The sequence below is a fragment of the Homo sapiens genome, chromosome 4 (assembly GCF_000001405.40).
Source record: "Homo sapiens chromosome 4, GRCh38.p14 Primary Assembly".
Taxonomy (NCBI): Eukaryota; Metazoa; Chordata; class Mammalia; order Primates; family Hominidae; genus Homo; species Homo sapiens.
The window spans coordinates 82,431,018-82,449,927 of record NC_000004.12 but is presented as its reverse complement, the minus strand read 5'-3'; the positions used below and the strand labels follow the sequence as shown (position 1 = coordinate 82,449,927).

Below are 18,910 nucleotides of genomic sequence, written 5' to 3'. Positions count from 1 at the left end.
CAGACTGATGACTGGTGGGGAGAAGAGGGTAGAACAAAGCACAGGAGACCAAAGGAGGTATGAGGGCTGGGCCAGAGTGAGCTGGGGTGAGGAGTCTGGAAGGGGAGTGTGAGTGTGAGGACCCAGGAGCACTGCAGAGGGGGCAGCAGGGGCTTGCAGTAAGGAAGGAGGGAGTGCAAAATGATGAAGTACTGTCATATGGAGAATGACATGGCTTGGATGTGTGTCCCCACCCAAATTGCACATTGAAATGTAATCCTCAGTGCTGGAGGTGAGGCCTAGTGGGAGGTGACTGGATCGCGGGGATAGACTTCTCGTGAATGGTTTGTTTAGCACCATCCTCCTTGATGCTGTCCTCACAATAGTGAGTTCTGGTTGTTTTAAAGTGTGTAGCACCTCCCCTCCCCACTCTCTTGCTCCTGACTTTCACCATCTGAGACGCCTGCTCCGGCTTTGCCTTCCATCATGATTAGAAGCTTCCTGAGGTCTCCCCAGAAGCAGATGCCGCTATGTTTCCTGTATAGCCTGTAGACCTGTGAGCCAATTAAACCTCTTTTCTTAAAAATTACCCACTCTCAGGTATTTCTTTACAGCAATGTGAGAACAGACTAATATAGAGACGTTAATAAAAAATGTAGAGACTGCTCAAAACCTTTTGCATTCTACCCAGAAAGGACTCTTTTTTTTTGAGACGGAGTCTTGCTCTGTAGCCCAGGCTAGAGTGCAGTGGCGCCATCTCGGCTCACTACAACCTTCACCTCCCACGTTCAAGCAATTCTCCTGCCTCAGCCTCCCAAGGAGTTGTGACTACAGGTGCCCGCCACCATGTCCGGCTAATTTTTTGTATTTTTTTTTTTTTTTTTTTTTTTTGAGACGGAGTCTCGCTCTGTCGCCCAGGCTGGAGTGCAGTGGCGGGATCTCGGCTCACTGCAAGCTCCGCCTCCCGGGTTCACGCCATTCTCCTGCCTCAGCCTCCCAAGTAGCTGGGACTACAGGCGCCGGCCACTACGCCCGGCTAATTTTTTGTATTTTTAGTAGAGACGGGGTTTCACCGTTTTAGCCGAGATGGTCTCGATCTCCTGACCTCGTGATCCGCCCGCCTCGGCCTCCCAAAGTGCTGGGATTACAGGCGTGAGCCACCGCGCCCGGCCTAATTTTTTGTATTTTTAGTAGAGGCAGCGTTTCACCATTTTGGCCAGGCTGGTCTCAAACTCCTGACCTCGAGTGATCCACCCACCTCGGCCTCCCAAAGTGCTGAGATTACAGGTGTGAGCCACCGTGCCCAGCCTAGAGTTGCCTTTTTCTAGAGCTATTTAAATTGCCTAACAATATCATATATTTGCAAACTTAAGCCCTTTTTGGGTGGGCTGGGGGTGGTAAGCTCATGCCTGTAATCCCAGCACTTTGGGAGGCCGAGGAGGGTAGATCACTTGAAATCAGGAGTTCTAGACCAGCCTGTCCAATGCGGTGAAACCCAATCTCCACTAAAAATACAAAAAATTAGCTGGGCATGGTGGCAGGTGCCTGTAGTCCCAGCTACTCGGGAGGCTGAGGCAGGAGAATCGCCTGAACCCAGTAAGCGAGGTTGCAGTGAGCTAAGATCACACCACCACACTCCAGCCTGGGCAACGAAGTGAGACTCCATCTCAAAAAAAAACAAAAAAAACAAAACAAAACAAAACAAAAAAAAACAACCAAAGAGCAACTCCAGAAACAACAAACTGACATGATCCAGCCTTTAATTATGTACTGTGAATTCCTAAGCAGGCAACTCACTAAGTCACTGCAACTTCTATCCCCTATCAAACCAGGGCACTTATTTTACAAAATGCTCAGAGCATGTCCTAAATCTCCAGGTACCCTCATTTCTAAGACACTTGGGAATTTAAGACAGAAATGTCCCAACCTGTTTCCTCAAAAGACTGACATCCTGCTGGCACTCCTCTTCTTCCCAATGTGTCTGCAGATACTCTTTAACATTTTCTTCGATGTAAGGAAATAAAATGTCCTGGATAAAAGAGTAAAAGAAAATACAAGAGTTAGCTTTTATCAGTTGTAAAAGATCCAGTTCTTCCACAATCTTACCTACATAACTGTAACAAATAAATCAATGGAACTCTATGAAAATTGCTGCTGTGAATATGAGCAAGAAAGAGAGACAGAGGCCAAGAAACAAATAAACTAGACCAAGAGTCGGCAAACTACAACCTGCAGGCCAAATCAAGTCCACTGCCTATTTCTGTAAATGAAGTTTTATTGGAACATAGCCACACTCATTTATTTAAATAATGTCTGTGGCTACTTTTGCATCACAATGGCAGAATTCAGTATTTGCAACCAAGACCATAGGGCCTGCAAAGCCTAAAATATTCACTGTCTGGTCCTTTACAGGAAAAGTCTCCCAACTACAGAACTAGATGGCCAGACCAAAGGTCCTTGAGGATATGGATTAAATGTGTCTTGCTCACAGCTTTATCCCCCATGCATACCACATTATTGTACATATCACTCAAATAATCTGCTGAAAAGAATGGTGTCCATACATGACAAGTATTTAAAAAAAAACAAAACAAACTTGATCACCATGACTCTTTCTTGGTAACTAGACTACCTTTGGAGCATCCTATAAGAAAGTGATATGCAGCTGGGCATGGTGGCTCACACTTGTAATCCTAGCACTTTGGGAGGCCGAGGCAGGCAGATCACCTGAGGTCAGGAGTTTGAGACCAGCCTGGCCAACATGGTGAAACCCTGTCTCTACTAAAAATACAAAAATTAGCCAGGTGTGGTGGCGGGTGCCTGTAATCTCAGGTACTCGGGAGGCTGAGGCAGGAGAATCGCTTGAACCTGGGAGGCAGAGGTTGCAGTAAGCTGAGATCCCATCATTGTATTCCAGCCTGGGGGACAGAATAAGATTCCGTTGGCCAGGCGCGGTGGCTCACGCCTGTAATCCCAGCACTTTGGGAGGCCGAGGCGGGTGGATCATGAGGTCAGGAGATCGAGACCATCCTGGCTAACAAGGTGAAACCCCGTCTCTACTAAAAATACAAAAAATTAGCCGGGCGCGGTGGCGGGCGCCTGTAGTCCCAGCTACTCGGGAGGCTGAGGCAGGAGAATGGCGTGAACCCGGGAAGCGGAGCTTGCAGTGAGCCGAGATTGCGCCACTGCAGTCCGCAGTCCGGCCTGGGCGACAGAGCGAGACTCCGTCTCAAAAAAAAAAAAAAAAAAAAAAAAAAAAGATTCCGTCACACAAAAAAAAAAAAAAGTGATGTGCAAAACAATTCAGTAATAAATAACCTGTCAGTAATCCATGCATTAGGAATTTCTTTCCCAGTCAGGCTTCTACCTCCGCTTTTTACTAGCTGTGTTCAAACAACTTATGCTCCTGAGCCACAGTTTTCTCATTTGCTACACAGGACTAACACAAGGCAAAGTCATCGGAGGATTGCACTGTCTAATGGAAAGCACCTGGCATCTTACCACTTAATATGTTCTTTTTTTTTTTTGAGATGGAGTCTTGCTTTATTGCCCAGGCTGGAGTGCAGTGGTGAGATCTCGGCTCACTGCAACCTCCCTCCGCCTCCCGAGTTCAAGAGATTGTCCTGCCTCAGCCTCCCAAGTAGCTGGGATTACAGGCACCTGCCACCACACCCGGCTAATTTTTGTATTTTTAGTAGACACAGGGTTTCACCATGTTGGCCAGGCTGGTCTTGAACTCCTGACCTCAAATGATCCACCGGCCTCAGCCTCCCAAAGTGCTGGGATTACAGGCGTGAGTCACTGTGCCTGGTGATATATTCTTAACATATTCTCCAGCACATGCAGTTAAACTGAGCAAGGATTACCCAAATTTCATGATAAATAATAGCAGAGAAGTTCCCAGAAGATAAATCACAAGCACAACCAACTTATTCATTCAACTTTCCTGAGAGCCTACAGAGAGCAGGACACTGGAGTTATGAAGCCACTCTTCTCAGAGAACTCAAGGAAATAAAAGGTGCAAGGTTTCAAACAATATTGAATGTTCGAGAACAGCCTTAGAAGTTGGAGATTACTTTAGAGTTCCTGATCATCCAATATGCCCCTCTCCTCATCTATAAAATGCGCCACTGTACTAAGTCATCACAAAAGCTAGACAATGAGGCTAGAATTTAGTATAACATCTGGACTATAAATATTATTTGCTGCTGGGCATGGTGGCTCATGCCTGTAATCCCAGCATTTTGGGAGGCCAAGGCAGTAAGATCACTTGAACCCAGGAGTTCAAGACCAGCCTGACCCTGTCTCCACAAAAAATTAAAAAGCTAGCTGGGCATGGTGATGCACATCTGTGGTCCCAGCTACTTGGAGGGGCTGAGATAGGAGAATTACTTGACCCCAGGAGGCTGAGGCTGCAGTGAGCTGTGATTGCACCACTGCACTCCACCCTGGGTAACAAAGCGGGACTCCTACTCAAAAAACAAACAAAAAAACAAATGATTTACAGTCAACATGTTAGCAGACGGTACTATTTTAGTGCAAAAGTGTTACTGCATAAAAGTATGTACATGAAATAATCAACTAAATTGTGAAAATTTTATCCAATCTTTCAACATACTTATTGAGAATATCTGTAAGACAAATACAATGCCTTCAAGTTGCTTATTAAATGGCCTGGCATGTACTATCATACATTATAAGAATTTTTTTTTTCTTTTTTGAGACAGAGTCTTGATCTGTCACTCAGGCTGGAATGCAGTGGTGACAATTACAGCTCACTCCTGTCTTGAACTCCTGGACTCAAGAGATCGTCCCACCTCATCCTCCTGAGTAGATGGGATTACAGGTGTGCACCACCTGTAATTAGCCTTGCTAATTTTTTAAAAAATGTTTTGTAAAGACAAGATCTCGCTATGTTGCTCAGGCTGGTCTTGAACTCCTGAGCTTAAGCAATCATCCCACCTCAGCCTCCTAAAGTGCTGGGATTACAGGCATAAACCACAGTACCCATTGACAATAAATGTTTTAACTTCAGTTATAATCCACTTACAGATAATTTCAGAATACTATAGTATGACAAATATGCTACAATAAACTCAGGATTCTACAAATAAATGTGCGAATATTTTCAGTCCACCAGGCACTTAGGGAGTTGTTATGATTTAGCAGTACATACAACAAAAGGCTATAGAACTAGAGTTATTTGCCTTGTAGGGGAATATGATTAAATTCCATTAGATGTTACAGAGGATACTGTGCAAGCAGCAATTTATATTACTCTGCAAAGCTCAGTGATCGCTTACTGAAAGAGCCATGAAATTTCGAAGACCTAATTTAAAAAGTTGCCTTGTAAATGTTTAGAAGTTCAAATATGGATATGCTTTACGGTCACGTGGTTGTTTTAATGAAAAGGTCATAGAATTAATAAAAATCAAACTGTTGTTACCGTATTTATTCATCTCCTTTGAAGAAAACGGGTAATAAAAGGTACCTCCTAAAAATAGTGCTGAGAGGCCAGGCCAACACAGTGAAACCCCGTCTCTACTAAAAAAACAAAAATTAGTCGGGGCGTGGTGGTACACGCCTATAGTCCCAGCTACTCCGGAGGCTGAGACAAGAGAAATGCTTGAACCCGGGAGGCGGAGGTTGTAGTGAGCCGAGATTGTGCCACTGCACTGCAGCCTAGGTGAGAGAGTGAGACTCCGTCTCAAAAAAAAAAAAAAGAATAGTGCTGAGAGTACAGCTACATAAAGAAACTACTTTAAAAGCTTTCTGGCCGGGCGCCGTGGCCCACGCCTGTAATCCCAGCACTTTGGGAGGCCGAGGCAGGTGGATCACTTGAAGTCAGGAGTTCGAGACCAGCCTGGCCAACATGGCGAAACCCTGTTTCTACTAAAAATACAAAAATTATCTGGATGTGGTGGCGCGAGCCTGTAATCCCGGCTACTTGGGAGACTGAGGCAGGAGAATCGCTTGAACCCGGAAGTAGAAGTTGTAGTGAGCTGAGATCACACCACTGTACTCCAGCCTGTACTCCCTGGGTGACAGGGAGACTCTGTCTCAAAAAAAAATAAAAATAATAAATAATAAATAAAACAAAAGCCCTCCAAGGGAACTATACAATGCAAATGATTTATAGTACTTGAGAACTTAGTATTTTTTAGAAAACAAATTAAACAACACAAAAGCAATATTGTGGGCTATTATTTCCCTTTTTTTTTTGAGACTGGAGTCTCACTCTGTCCCAGGCTGGAGGGCAGTGGCACAATCTCAGCTCACTGCAAGCTCCACCTGCTGGGTTCATGCCATTTTCCTGCCTCAGCCTCCCGAGTAGCTGGGACTTCAGGCGCCCGCCACCACGCCCGGCCAATTTTTTGTGTTTTTAGTAGAGACGGGGTTTCACCATGTTAACCAGGATGGCCTCGATCTCCTGACCTCGTGATCTGCCAGCCTCGGCCTCCCAAAGTGCTGGGATTACAAGCGTGAGCCACCGCGCCCAGCCCCCATTGGTGGGCTATTATTTCTTTCTTTTTTTTTTGGACGGAGTGCAGTGGCATGATCTTGGCTCACTGCAACTTCGTCTCCTGGGCTCAGGTGATCCTCCCACCTCAGCCTCCTGAGTAGCTGGGACTACAGGCGTGAGCCACCATACCCAGCTAATTTTTTGAATTTTTAGTAGAGATGGGGTTTCGCCATGTTAGCCAGGCTGGTCTCAAGCTCGTGGACTCAGGCAATCATCCCATCGCGGCCTCCCAAAGTGCTGGCATTACAGGCATGAGCCACCATGACCGGCCCCACATAAATTTATGTTGCTTTTTATTCTCTAACATTAATAGAGACATACGCCCGGGCGCGGTGGCTCCGCCTGTAGTCCCAGCACTGTGGGAGGCCAAGGCCAGTGATCACTTGAGGTCACGAGTTTGAGATCAGCCTGGCCAACATGGTGAAACCCCCTCTCTACTAAAAACAAAAACTTAGCCAGGTGTGGTGGCTCGCGCCTGTAATCCCAGACATGAGAATTGCTTGAACCCAGGAGGAAAAGGTCACGGTAAGCCAAGATCACGCCACTGCACGCCAGCCTGGGCGATAGAGCAGGACTCTGTCTCAACAACAACAAACAAAATTAACTGGCTTGATGGTTCCTAAATATAAATCACATCATACAAATAATTAATAAAACAGGTTACAAACAGTATGTACAGCATAATCCTATCGGGGGGATATTTAACACACTGAACAAAATATGAGAGAACATGAACTTAAATGTTTACAAAGGTTCTCTCTGGGTTATGACATTAAAAGAAACTTTTTTGCATATCTCTTTTCTGCAATAAAAATGTATAACCTTAATAGTGCTAAAAGTTAGCAAAACTAAGTGTTAAAAAAAAAATCATAGATTGCCGACAGTGTTTTTTTTGTTTGTTTTTTTGAGACAGAGTCTCGCTCTGTCACCCAGGGTGGAATACAATGGTGCGATCTCAGCTCACTGCAACCTCCACCTCCTGAGTTCAAGCAATTTTCCTGCCTCGGCCTCCTGAGTAGCTGGGATTACAGGTGTGTGCCACCACGCCCAACTGATTTTTGCATTTTTAGTAGAGATGGGGTTTCACCATGTTGGCCAGGCTGGTCTCGAACTCCTGACCTCTGATGATCCCCCGCATCTTGGCCTCCCAAAGTGCTGGGATTACAGGAGCCACCACCAAGCTGGCCTGCTGACAGTGTTTTAAATAAAATCACCCCCTACAAAGACAAATAATTAAAGGCTGTATCCAGTGAATAAACTTAGGGGAAATTACATGCAATGGACAAGAAGAGCTAGTTATCTGAGGCAGAATGACTGAAGAATTTAGCAAAATCCAAATTCCAATCAGAATGACTACACTGTGACTTCAAGAGAATAGAGCTTTATCGGCACAGGTAGTGAATCAGCTATACTATGATCAGTCTGAAGAAAGACCACATTTGTGCTGAGCCACTTTTCTTCCCTGGCTCAAAGTCACTTACTTTGATGATCTTGTCACCTAGCATCTTTCTCTGTTAAAGTTAGCCTTCCCATGTAGTTTTCCCACAGATGTTTACTGCCAGATGTCTGTGATAATAGTATTAGGAAAATGTAATACATTAGGCTTTTTTGGTTTTTTAAATTTATTTTTGTTGTTGTTGTTGTTGTTTTTGTAGAGACAGTCTCACTATGTTGCCCAGGCGGGTCGTGAACTCCTGGGCTTAAGTGATCCTCCCATCTCAACCTCTCAAAGTGCTGGGAGTAAATAACTGTCACAAGATCTGATGGTTTTTACTTTATTTTATTTTATTTTGAGATGCAGTCTCGCTCTGTCGCCCAGGCTGGAGTGCAGTGGCGCCATCTCAGCTCACTGCAAGCTCTGCCTCCCGGGTTCACGTCATTCTCCTGCCTCAGCCTCCAGAGTAGCTGGGACTACAGGCACCCGCCACCACGCCTGCCACCACACCCGGCCAATTTTTTGTATTTTTAGCAGAAACGGGGTTTCACCGTGTTAAACAGGATGGTCTCGATCTCCTGACCTCGTGATCTGCCCACCTTGGCCTCCCAAACAGCTGGGATTACAGGCATGAGCCACCACACCTGACAACCTGATGGTTTTATAAAGGGGAGCTCCCTTGAACATGCCCTCTTGCCTGCCACCATATAAAATATCCCTTTGCTCTTCCTTCTTCTTCCACCATGATTGTGAGGCCTCCCCAGCCATGTGGAACTGTAAGTCCATTATACCTCTTTCCTTTATCAACTACTCAGTCTCAGGTATGTCTTTATTAGCAGCATGAGAACAGACTAATACACCAAGCTTTGTTTAAATACTTCTAACAACGAGAATTGCTACTTTTTGGAGTGGTCCATGCCATCTGCCAGATAGTTTCAGCAGTTGTGGTATTAGAATTGCTCTTCAAAAAGGCTTCCTGAAGACCACAGTAGGAGCTATCAAGAAGTTTCTGTGTTCTGGCTGCCACATGGGGCCACATGGTCTCAGGAATTAAAATCCTACTGTCCTCGTCTTCATGGGAGTAAACAGGGCTGGACCCATACAAGGGGTGTAGGTTGAAAACTGAAAGCTTAGGAATGAACATCAGATTTCACATGTGCATTCAAAATGAATTAATCAATGTGGTGCTGATAAGACAAAAGATAGCCCCATTAAGGAGATTAAATTATAATTAACAAAAGATACACTGTTATCTAATTAAGTGCAATGAATCACACTGAACAAGGGATTGTTATCAGTACAAGAGGGCTAGTAATTGGAGTAAGGTTTTAAGAAGCAGCACAAAAGAAACAGAGTATCTCCAATGAGTTCCAGAAAGGGAACTTGACTGGCCCAGAGTCCTAGTCCTTAACAGTGGAGGGGAAAGGAAGGCATTCACATTCATCTCCTTGAATCTGCCTAACATCCCTGCAAAGTAAGCCTTCTTTCATAGAGGAAGACACTGAGGTTCAAAGAGGTTTCGCTGCTGGTGCAGAGTAAAGCCAGGACTCAAACCCAGGCCTATCAAATCCCAACACCTGAAGCCATCCAGCTCTCACGGGTGAATGACTTCAAGGAGCACTACTCACCAGGATCATCTAACTCCCTGGATCTTGACAGCATATTCTCTATGGAAATTTCTAATATAGCTTTGATTCCCCAAAGAGGTTTCATACAAAGAAAATGAGAGATTATGGTTCACCCAGTAGTTCTGTAACATTTCCTATAAAGTATCAGCAATAATAATTCAAGTAGTTATAGTAATGGGAGTAACTGCCAACATTTACTGAGCACTTACTATGACAAACACTTCTCTTTTCTATCTATAATCACTCCTTTGTGATCTTACCTAATTCCATGACTTTAAATACCATTTATACTAATGATCCCCAAATCCTTACCTTTAGCTTGGACCTTTTCCAAATGCCTACCCAATATCCCCACTTGCATGTCTATTCAGTATCTCAAACTAAACACATCTGAAACCAAACTCTTGATTCCATCCCTTAATCCTCCTCCTCCCCCTACATCTCCACATCACAGTAAATGACAGAACCATCCTTCCAGATGCTCAGGCCAAAAACCTTAGAGTCATCTTTGACTCCTCTTTCTCTCAAACTCCACATCCAACCAATCCATCAGCAAATCCCATCAGCTCTACCTTCAAAATATATTCAGATCCAATCACTTCTCACCACTGCCACCACCAAGCACTCAAAATTTACTCAACTTACTGATAATGTCATTTTAATCTTCATAATAACCCTGTGAAATTGGTGCTACTACTTCCTCCATTTTTCAGAGGCACATAAAGGTTAAGTACAAATTAACAAACTGAGATTATAGTTTACCAATCAGGTCTTTCTTTTTGAGTTTATAGAGTCAGATGCCTGGAATCTCCCCAGTATCAGATCGGGGGTAAAGATCCCACTCTTTACCCCCATCAAAGGGATCTAATTACCTTCCTGAACTTACAACGACTTGGACCCATACAAGACCAGTCCAGAGAGAGCTGGAGTAAGTATACACAAGCTTAACTGTCAAACACTGGTCTGATTGTGAGCTCCAAAGTCCCACCAAGGTCTCAATGCTGAAATTACCATTAGTTTCCAAACCGCATGCCTTAGTTTCTCTTTACTCAGTAAAGGGGTACCAGGTCCACACTTTTTAGACTTAAGAAAAGGAACTTGTTAGAAGGTCACATCATGAATCACTGGAAAGAAAATCAAGCTAAGAAATGAACCCCTCATGCACATACCTAGAAGGCAAACAACCCCTTTCTGTCCTAAAGACATTCTGTCTTTGAAAAGAAACCCATTTTCCTGAAATGGTATCACCTGGGAAAGGTCCAGAGAGGATCCAGGAGGGCCTCTGAGGATAAAGCTACCAACTTTCCACACGACTCTTTAGTGAGCTGATGGGAAAATGGGTGCAATAGGATTAGGGCAGGTTGGTTTCCACTCCTCTTCTGACCTGCACCTCCAACAAAACCAGTTTTGAAAATCAAATGAGTTGATAAATGTGAAATTCAAAGTTTCATATAAAAATAACCTTTTATTGTAAAAAAGAATACTTTGTTTTCTTTAGTGGAGTGGTAACACAGGGTAAGCTGCAAGGATAGAAAATTTTAAGACCCATCAGACAAAGAAGAAGTAAGCACTTTTCAGGGCTAAACACAGGGTATCATTTTAAAAGTCTGTATGAGCAAGATAAAATCCAGCCTATGTATTTAAAATATAGGGGTTATAGCTTAAAATCAGTGCCCCTTTTAAAAATTGTTATTTTTTCGATCACGCCACTGCATTCCAGCTCTGTCACCCAGGCTGCATGCAGTGCAGTGGCACAATCACACCTCACCACAGTCTCTACCTCCTGGGCTCAAGTGATCCTCCCACCTCAGCCTCCTGAGTAGCTGGGATTACAGGTGCACATCACCATGTCCAGCCAATTTTTTATTTTTTGTAGAGATGGGGTCTCCCTATGTTGCCCAGGCTGGTCTTGAACTCCTGGACTCAAGTAATCTCCTTGCCATGGCCTTCCAAAGTGCTGGGATTACAGGTGTGAGCCACCATGCCCAACCCCTTTTACTCAATAAGTCTGACTACATATCTTTCAAAGATCTGTATGACTTTACTGTGTACCTAGGGAAAAAAACAGAAGGAATATTCACCAAACTCTTAATGGTCACCTCTGGATGGCAGGAGCATATCAGGGCTTTCACTCTCTATATCATACTCTTCTTTGTCTGCAATTTTATAATCAGGGCGAACTAATTTTCTAGGAAGAATATTTGGGGGGGTAGAAAAACCTTTCCTCTAGTCTTACATTAACAGATGCAAGTTTCTATAAATAACATATTTCACTTTTTATCTTAATTTTGTTAATAAAATTTTCTCTTTTATGACATTTAATTTCCATTATCAGCTGGTTTCATCCTCTATAACTTGTAGGTTTTGGAAATGTTGAGTCAATGAATTCTAATGCCACTCTAGAAACACTTTCAGTTAAATTGTTCAAATATAATAGAGTACCACCTTGAGGAAATCTGAAATAGCAAGGATTGCAGAGTATGGAAGAAACTGAATCCCAGTCCCTCCCACACCCATTCCGGAATGCATATCACCATCACCCAGCATGTTACAGCATGCCTGATGTGTAAGCACTGTGTGAGGCTCTGGTCTCTGCCCTTGAGGAGCCTTCCACACAGCTTGAAAAAGAGGACACACATCCAACATCACAAGTCAGCTATTGGCTCCAGTAGCAAATACTACACATGGTACTGACAATGAGTTCAGAGGACGAAGAGAAAGGACTTTGAAATTCCTGCTTAAATAGGTCCTTTACAAGAAGAGGTAGCTCTTACTTCCATATTCCCACAGCTTAGCACAATAAGTAATTTTTTTTTAAGTTAATGAGTGCATGGGACCCACACTTGGAGACGAAAAGGTATGACATTCCAAGCTGGAAGAATGGTGGCAGCAAGAAAGGGCATGATTGGAATGTGCATGTTCAGCTATGTAAAGTGTAAAGAGAGGGATAGAAAGTTGGAAAACCCAATTTGTTGAACTCTCATCTCACAGCCAGTGAGAGACTACAGAGGACTTTGATTATGCAAAGGCGACCTATTTATGTAACTGTCTTCCTTTCTAGGTTCCCTGAGGAACCTGAGGGTGACAGCTGGGTCTTAAGGACTCTGGATCCCTACCATATCCTGGAACATGACAGGTATTCAATTAAATGTGAGGGAAAGGAAAGAAGGATTGATTAGGCTGGAAAGATTATGCTAATGCCACAATACTGAAGGTTCTAGAAAAATAAGGAACCAGAAATCAAAGTGAGAGGTGCTTTCTTTTTTTATAATTTTTTTTTAAGACAGGGTCTTGCTATGTTGCCCAGGCTGGTCTGAAACTCCTAGCCTCAAGTGATCCTCCAACCTTTGCCTCCCAAAGTGTTCGGATTACAGGGGTGAGCCACCATGCCCATACTGAATTATTTACTTAATGCAGATTCTTTGGGTTCCAACAACGATAGGATGATGATGATGATGATGACGACGATGACATATTCTGTGTGAGAGCAGGATGAACATGACAGTCCCAGCTTTAGGGAACTAACAGGTGGCTGGGTGAGCAGATTGTCTAAGGCTCATGTGGTAGGCAGCCCAGGTCTCCTGAATCCTAGGTGAGGTCCCTCCCAGCTAGGTGGGACAGCTTCCTCCCAGAGGCCAGAGGTGCTTTCTATCCACCATTTTTTTTTTTTTTTTTTGAGACAGGGTCTTGCTTTGTCATCCAGGCTGGACTGCAGTGGCACGATCATGGCTTACTGCAGCCTTGACCTCCTGGGCTCAAATGATCCTTCTACCTCAGCCTCCTGAGTAGCTGGGATCACAGGCACATGCCACTACACCTGGCTAACTTTTTTTATTTTTAGTAGAGACGAGGTCATGCTACATTGCGCAGGCTGGTCTTGAACTCCTAGGTTCAAGCAATCCTCTCACCTTGGCCTTCCAAAGTGCTAGGATTACAAGTGTGAGCCACCAAGGCTAAGGCTAGCCTCCATCCACCTCTTGATATACGCAAGACAGTGATTCTCCAAAGACTCCTCACCTTGTTTCAAGCTGAGTCAACAAAAATCCTCTCACGTACTACCATGAATGTAGCTGGGAAACACTGCCCTAAGCAGTAGAAAAGTTTGGGGAGAGGGGGGCAGTTGTTTATCAACCCATCAACAACTACTTATCTGCCATTCCAGTGCTTCCACAAATTCTTAGAGATCAACAATATCCTGCGTCTTATTTTTAACATATTTCTGGGTAGGGCAATAAGGAGCAGAAGTCACTGGGAGTAACCATGGTAGACGTAACTGGGAGCATGGTGGGTTTCAGGAAATGTAAGATCCCTCTTTTCCTTATCAATCCTTCCTTCATAAGCACTTTCTATTTCCTCCAGTCTGACACTTCCTGCATTATAATCAGTGTTTCTATAGGACTTCGTAATTTTCAAAGGCTTTTGAATTCCATCTTATTTAACCTTCATCACCACCTTTATAAACAAAGCATATCCTAGTAGCCCATCCCTGCGGATGAAAAAGCCTAAATCCGTAGACTGAATGAAGATAGGGAAAGAGACCCTATTACAGTTACTGGTGTCAATAATAAATAGCACAGGTAGAAGAATGCTTCCAGTGTGCCATTCCTTGTAGGCTGTCTTCTAGCTGTTTCATTGTGCAGGCAGAGTGCGCATCCTACACTTCTCAATGCTGGCAATAATAGAAGTAATACTACTTATCAAATGGATGTTTAACCAAAGTTGGGAGATAACTATCAGACTTTAAAGCTCTCTTCCTAAAAAGACCATAATTTAATATAGCAGTTTTCATAAGAAAGATGTTAACTGCAACACTCCCCAATTATTATCTTCTAAAATACATTATAAGAGGACATAAAGAGGACTGTTAAATAATCAAGAATGAATTCACTATTTCTAAAAATGCTTTACCAGCCTGGACAACCCAGTGAGACCCCATCTCTGCAAAAAATTTTAAAAATTAGCTGGACATGGTGGCACATGCCTATAATCCCAGCACTCTGGGAAGCCGTGATGGGAGGACTGTTTGAGTCCAGGAGTTTGAGAACAGCCTGGGCAACACTGTGAAACCCCATCTTTATAAAAAATAAAAATAAGCTAGCTAGGCATGGTGGTGCACACTCGTGGTCCCAGCTACTCAGGAGACTGAGGTAGGAGGATTGCTTAAGCCTGAGAGGTCGAGGTTGCGGTGAGCTGTGATCGTGCCACTGTACTCCAGCCTGGGTGACACAGCCTGACCCTGCTTCAGAAAAACAAAGACAAAAAAGAACAAACACCAGAGGTATGTGTCCTGCGGTAAAGTGCAGGGATGGTGGCGGTGGATTTAGATGCGGTGGGAACATCTAAGGAAAACTGGGCTCTGCTGCAGCTCTACTCCCAACAAATTTTGATGATCCTCAGGCAAGACACAAAGACATGCTATAAACTGAAATTTGTTACCATATACTTTTTTTTTTTTTTAAAGACAGTCTCGCTCTGTCACTCAGGTTGGAGTGCACTGGCACGATCTCGGCTCACTGCAACCTCCGCCTCCCAGGTACAAGCGATTCTCCCACCTCAGCCTCCCCAGTAGCTGGGATTACAGGTGTGCGCCACCATGCCCAGCTAATTTTTGAATTATTTATTCCTTTTTTTCTTTTCTTTTCTTTTTTTGAGACAGCGTCTTCCTCTGTTGCCCAGGCTGGAAGGCAGTGGTACAATCTCGGCTCACTGCAACCTCCACCTCCTGGGTTCAAGTGATTCTTCTGCCTCAGCTTCCTGAGTAGCTGGGATTACAGGTGCCCACCACCATGCCCGGCTAATTTTTGTATTTTTAGTAGAGACGGGGTTTCACCATGTTGACCAGGCTGGTCTCAAACTCCTGACCTCAGGTGATCCACCTGTCTCGGCCTCCCAAAGTGCTGGGATTATGAGCCACCATGCCTGGCCTACTTTTTGTATTTTTAGTAGAGACTGGCTTTCACCATGTTGGCCAGGCTGGCCTCGAACTCCTGACCTCAAGAGATCCACCTGCTTCGGCGTCCCAAAGTGCTGGGATTACATGCCTGAGCCACCGTACCTGGCTTGTTACCATATACTTTTATAGCACAGTACTTCACATTGATTAAAGAACTCTCATACTAACTGTGTCATTTAACATACACAACCACCAAGCAAAGGAGACAGGACAAACAGTAGCATCCCATTTCCAAGGCTGAGTGCAGTAATGGAAAAAATAAGAGTTTTTATGAATAAGACAATCTGAGTTCAAATCCCAGGCATCTTGTTCAACTTTTCAGAGGCTTTGTTTCATCCTAAGTAAAGTGTAGACAGTACATACACCTCATGGTCTTTTAGAATGAGTCAAGGATTGAGTACTGCACGTATACAGTACTCAATGTTTCCTTCCATCATTCCACAGAAGGAAGGGCTACAAGTTCACACACCTACTCTGACTTTAAAGCTCCAAGCAGATTATCTTTCAACTCCCATGCTCAACCTTTCCGTGCTCAGATTCAAGAATGTAACTCAGCATCTCTTTAAAAGGTGTTTAAAAGATTAGTCACTGAGATACTCTACTAAAAGTTTTTTGTTCAAGTAGATTTGTGAAATGTCACTCTCTTGAAATCTCACAAAGTGTGTATGTGTGTATATATATGTATGATACCGAAGGTTCTGAGAAGTCTTGCAATAAAGAAATCTATTTGAACTCATTCTAACTAGCATTTCCCAAAAGTGCATTTAATGGAATCCTTTTTTACATAATTACCATAAACATCCACACAGACCTAACTTTCTTTTAAACATACTTTTAGGAAAAATGGTTTTGATAAATTCATGTCTAACAAATTATAATAATAGATTAGATTATAATAGATTAACAATATTAATAACAATAGATATTATTATAGGACAGGGCACAAGAAATTATCCTTTAAACAAGATCCCTAAATCATTCTTTTGCAGCCTGCATTGAAATTGCACATTGCCTAGCGTCAAATTCAGAAAAATTTATTTAGGCAACTAAGACATTTTTATTTTTGGATTTCAGAATAAGTCTGCCACAGACACAAAGATTCCAAGAAGTGGCTCATAATGTCATCTAGCAGAAGACACACTTGGGGAAAAAGGTGGGGGAGGGGTATTATGTTTTGTTGCAAAATTGATTTTGTATGAGGTTTCTTACTCCCCAAATCTACCTTCAGAAAACGGTAGTATCTAATGATCTAATGCCACATCACTACCTCTCCTGTCCTTATCCTTGGTCTCCTGATGACCGCAGAAAGCAAGAGAGAGCCAGAGTGGAACGAGTGAGCTGTTAACTATAAATTACAAAAATGAGGACTCCTTTTTTCTCTGAAAACCAAGAAAGCGGTTACTCTGTCACAATCCAAAAAAAAAGGAAATTAATCAATCATCAGTATTTGTCCTGAAATTTTCCGCAGAGGTCTCTGGTGTGATTAAAAACGTGGGGGAAGGTCAGGCGCGGTGGCTCGCGCCTATAATCCCAGCACTTTGGGAGGCCGACACGGGAGGATTACCTGAGGTCAGACCAGCCTGGTCAACTAAAAATACAAAAATTAGCCGGGCGTGGTGGTGCGCGTCTGTAATCTCAGCTACTCGGAAGGCTGAGGCACCAGAATCGCTTGAACCCCGGAAGCAGAGGTTGCACCACTGTATTCCAGCCTGGGAGACAGAACAAGACTCTGTCTCAAACAAAACAAAACAAAACAAAACAAAACGTGGGGAAGAGGCCGGGTGCCATGGTTCACGCCTGTAATTCCAGCACTTTGGGAGGCTGAGGTGGGTGAATCACTTGAGGTCAGGAGTTTGAGACCAGCCTGGTGAAACCCTCTTCTACTAAAAATATAAAAATTAGCTGGGTGTGGTGGCACATGTCTGTAATCCCAGCTACTGGAGAGGCTGCGACAGAAGAATCGCTTGAAGCTGGGAGGCAGAGGTTGCAGTGAGCTGAGCTCACACCACTGCACTCCAGCCTGGGCAACAGAGCGAGACTCCGCCTCAAAACAAAAACAAAAACCGTGGAGAAAATGCTAAACTCGATTTCTTCTGAACCTATGCTAAGATGTCAAGGTACTGTGATTCTTCTAAAAGAATTTTAAAGGTTGTTATGTTTGGTGTCCTAAAAGTGTACATGGATTTTATATTATAACCTACATCAAGAAACTCATTCAGGCCAGGCGCCTTGGCTCATGCCTGTAATCTCAGCACTTTGGGAGGCCAAGAATTCCAGACTAGCCTGGGCAATATGGCGAAACCCCGTCTCTACAAAAAATACAAAAATTAGCCAGGCATGGTGGCTCTCCCTTCAGTCCCAACTACTCGAGAGGCTGGGGCAGGAGGATGCCTTAAGCCCAAGGAGGTAGAGGCTGCAGTGAGCTGTGATTGCACCACTCCACTCCACTCCAGCCTGGGAACAGAGTGAGACTCTCAAAGAAAAAAAAAAAAAAGCCTTATTCACAGATAATTTTTTTTAAAAATGGAAACTAAAATAGAATTTAAAACCCAAGCTGCTCAGTTTCTTGGAAGATGGATTTTTCCTACTTGGTAATATACTTTGTATATCTCGACTATTATTGTGCATGCAAGCACCTCTAAGAAGTACTTGTATCTGCAATGAATTCTTAAACCTCAGGGAGCCAAATAAAAAGACAAGGCCCGAGGAATTCTTTCAAAAATTAAAGTAACATTTCATATTTGCTTATTCTAACAGACAAAGAATAAAGAAGGAATCCGCTAAGTTGCAAGCTGAGGTGCAGACAAGTGCTGGTTCACAGTGACATCCTAGAAGGAATGCTCTGGATAAGAGCTTCAAGCTTCTGTGGTTTTCTGAGGAAAGTGAACGGAATCTAGACGTGTCCTATAGCTCAAAAAATCAGCGCTATGGACCACAGCGCCTAACAGAGTAAAATAATACACTGTGCAGTTTGGCCACTAACAGCAAGAGTGGGAAGGGGCGAAGAGGAACCTTGATTGCCCGACACCAGGGCCACCTGAAAAGTCATCTTGACACTTCAGTCTTTCCATTTTGAGATCGGAAGCTTTAAGGACCATTAAATCGCTGCCGCTGCCACACCAGGCCCGACGGAGCAGAAAGGCTGCGCTCACCTGCGGAAGCGACCGGGTGCACACCTGCCGGGTGGCGAGGCCCGCACCGTCACACCCCGCCCCGGCTTACCTGCCCTTCGGTGATTTTTAGCGTCAACTTCCATCCCTTCCCACCCATCTGGATCCAACCAAGCGCAAGGGCGGGGGAGGGAGAAGCTAGTGTCGCGAGGAAAAGCATCCCCGCAACCCACCGCAGGCTTTCTCTCCTTCCTCCCCATTCCACACAAGAGGCAGCCACAC

The 18,910-nt window shown here is 43.9% G+C and overlaps 1 protein-coding gene across 3 annotated transcripts in view, besides 1 other annotated feature; it reads right to left on the bottom strand.

The window, feature by feature from the left end:
* Positions 1-18,910, bottom strand: part of ENOPH1 (enolase-phosphatase 1) — a 30,588-nt gene that overhangs the window by 11,250 nt on the left and 428 nt on the right. For all 3 annotated transcript variants that reach the window (NR_120457.2, NM_021204.5, NM_001292017.2), the window contains exon 2: positions 1,907-2,008. Coding sequence is in view for 1 of the 3 variants with exons in the window: in NM_021204.5 (NP_067027.1) it covers positions 1,907-2,008 (102 nt within the window). In the remaining 2 variants the exon portion in view is untranslated. The remainder of the gene's footprint in view (positions 1-1,906; positions 2,009-18,910) is intronic.
* Positions 18,748-18,847: an enhancer, noted in NCBI's record as "active region_21664". NCBI's record gives its function as "activates an Ori minimal core promoter by ATAC-STARR-seq in GM12878 lymphoblastoid cells {active_cell/tissue: GM12878}" and the evidence as "EXISTENCE:reporter gene assay evidence [ECO:0000049][PMID:35858748]".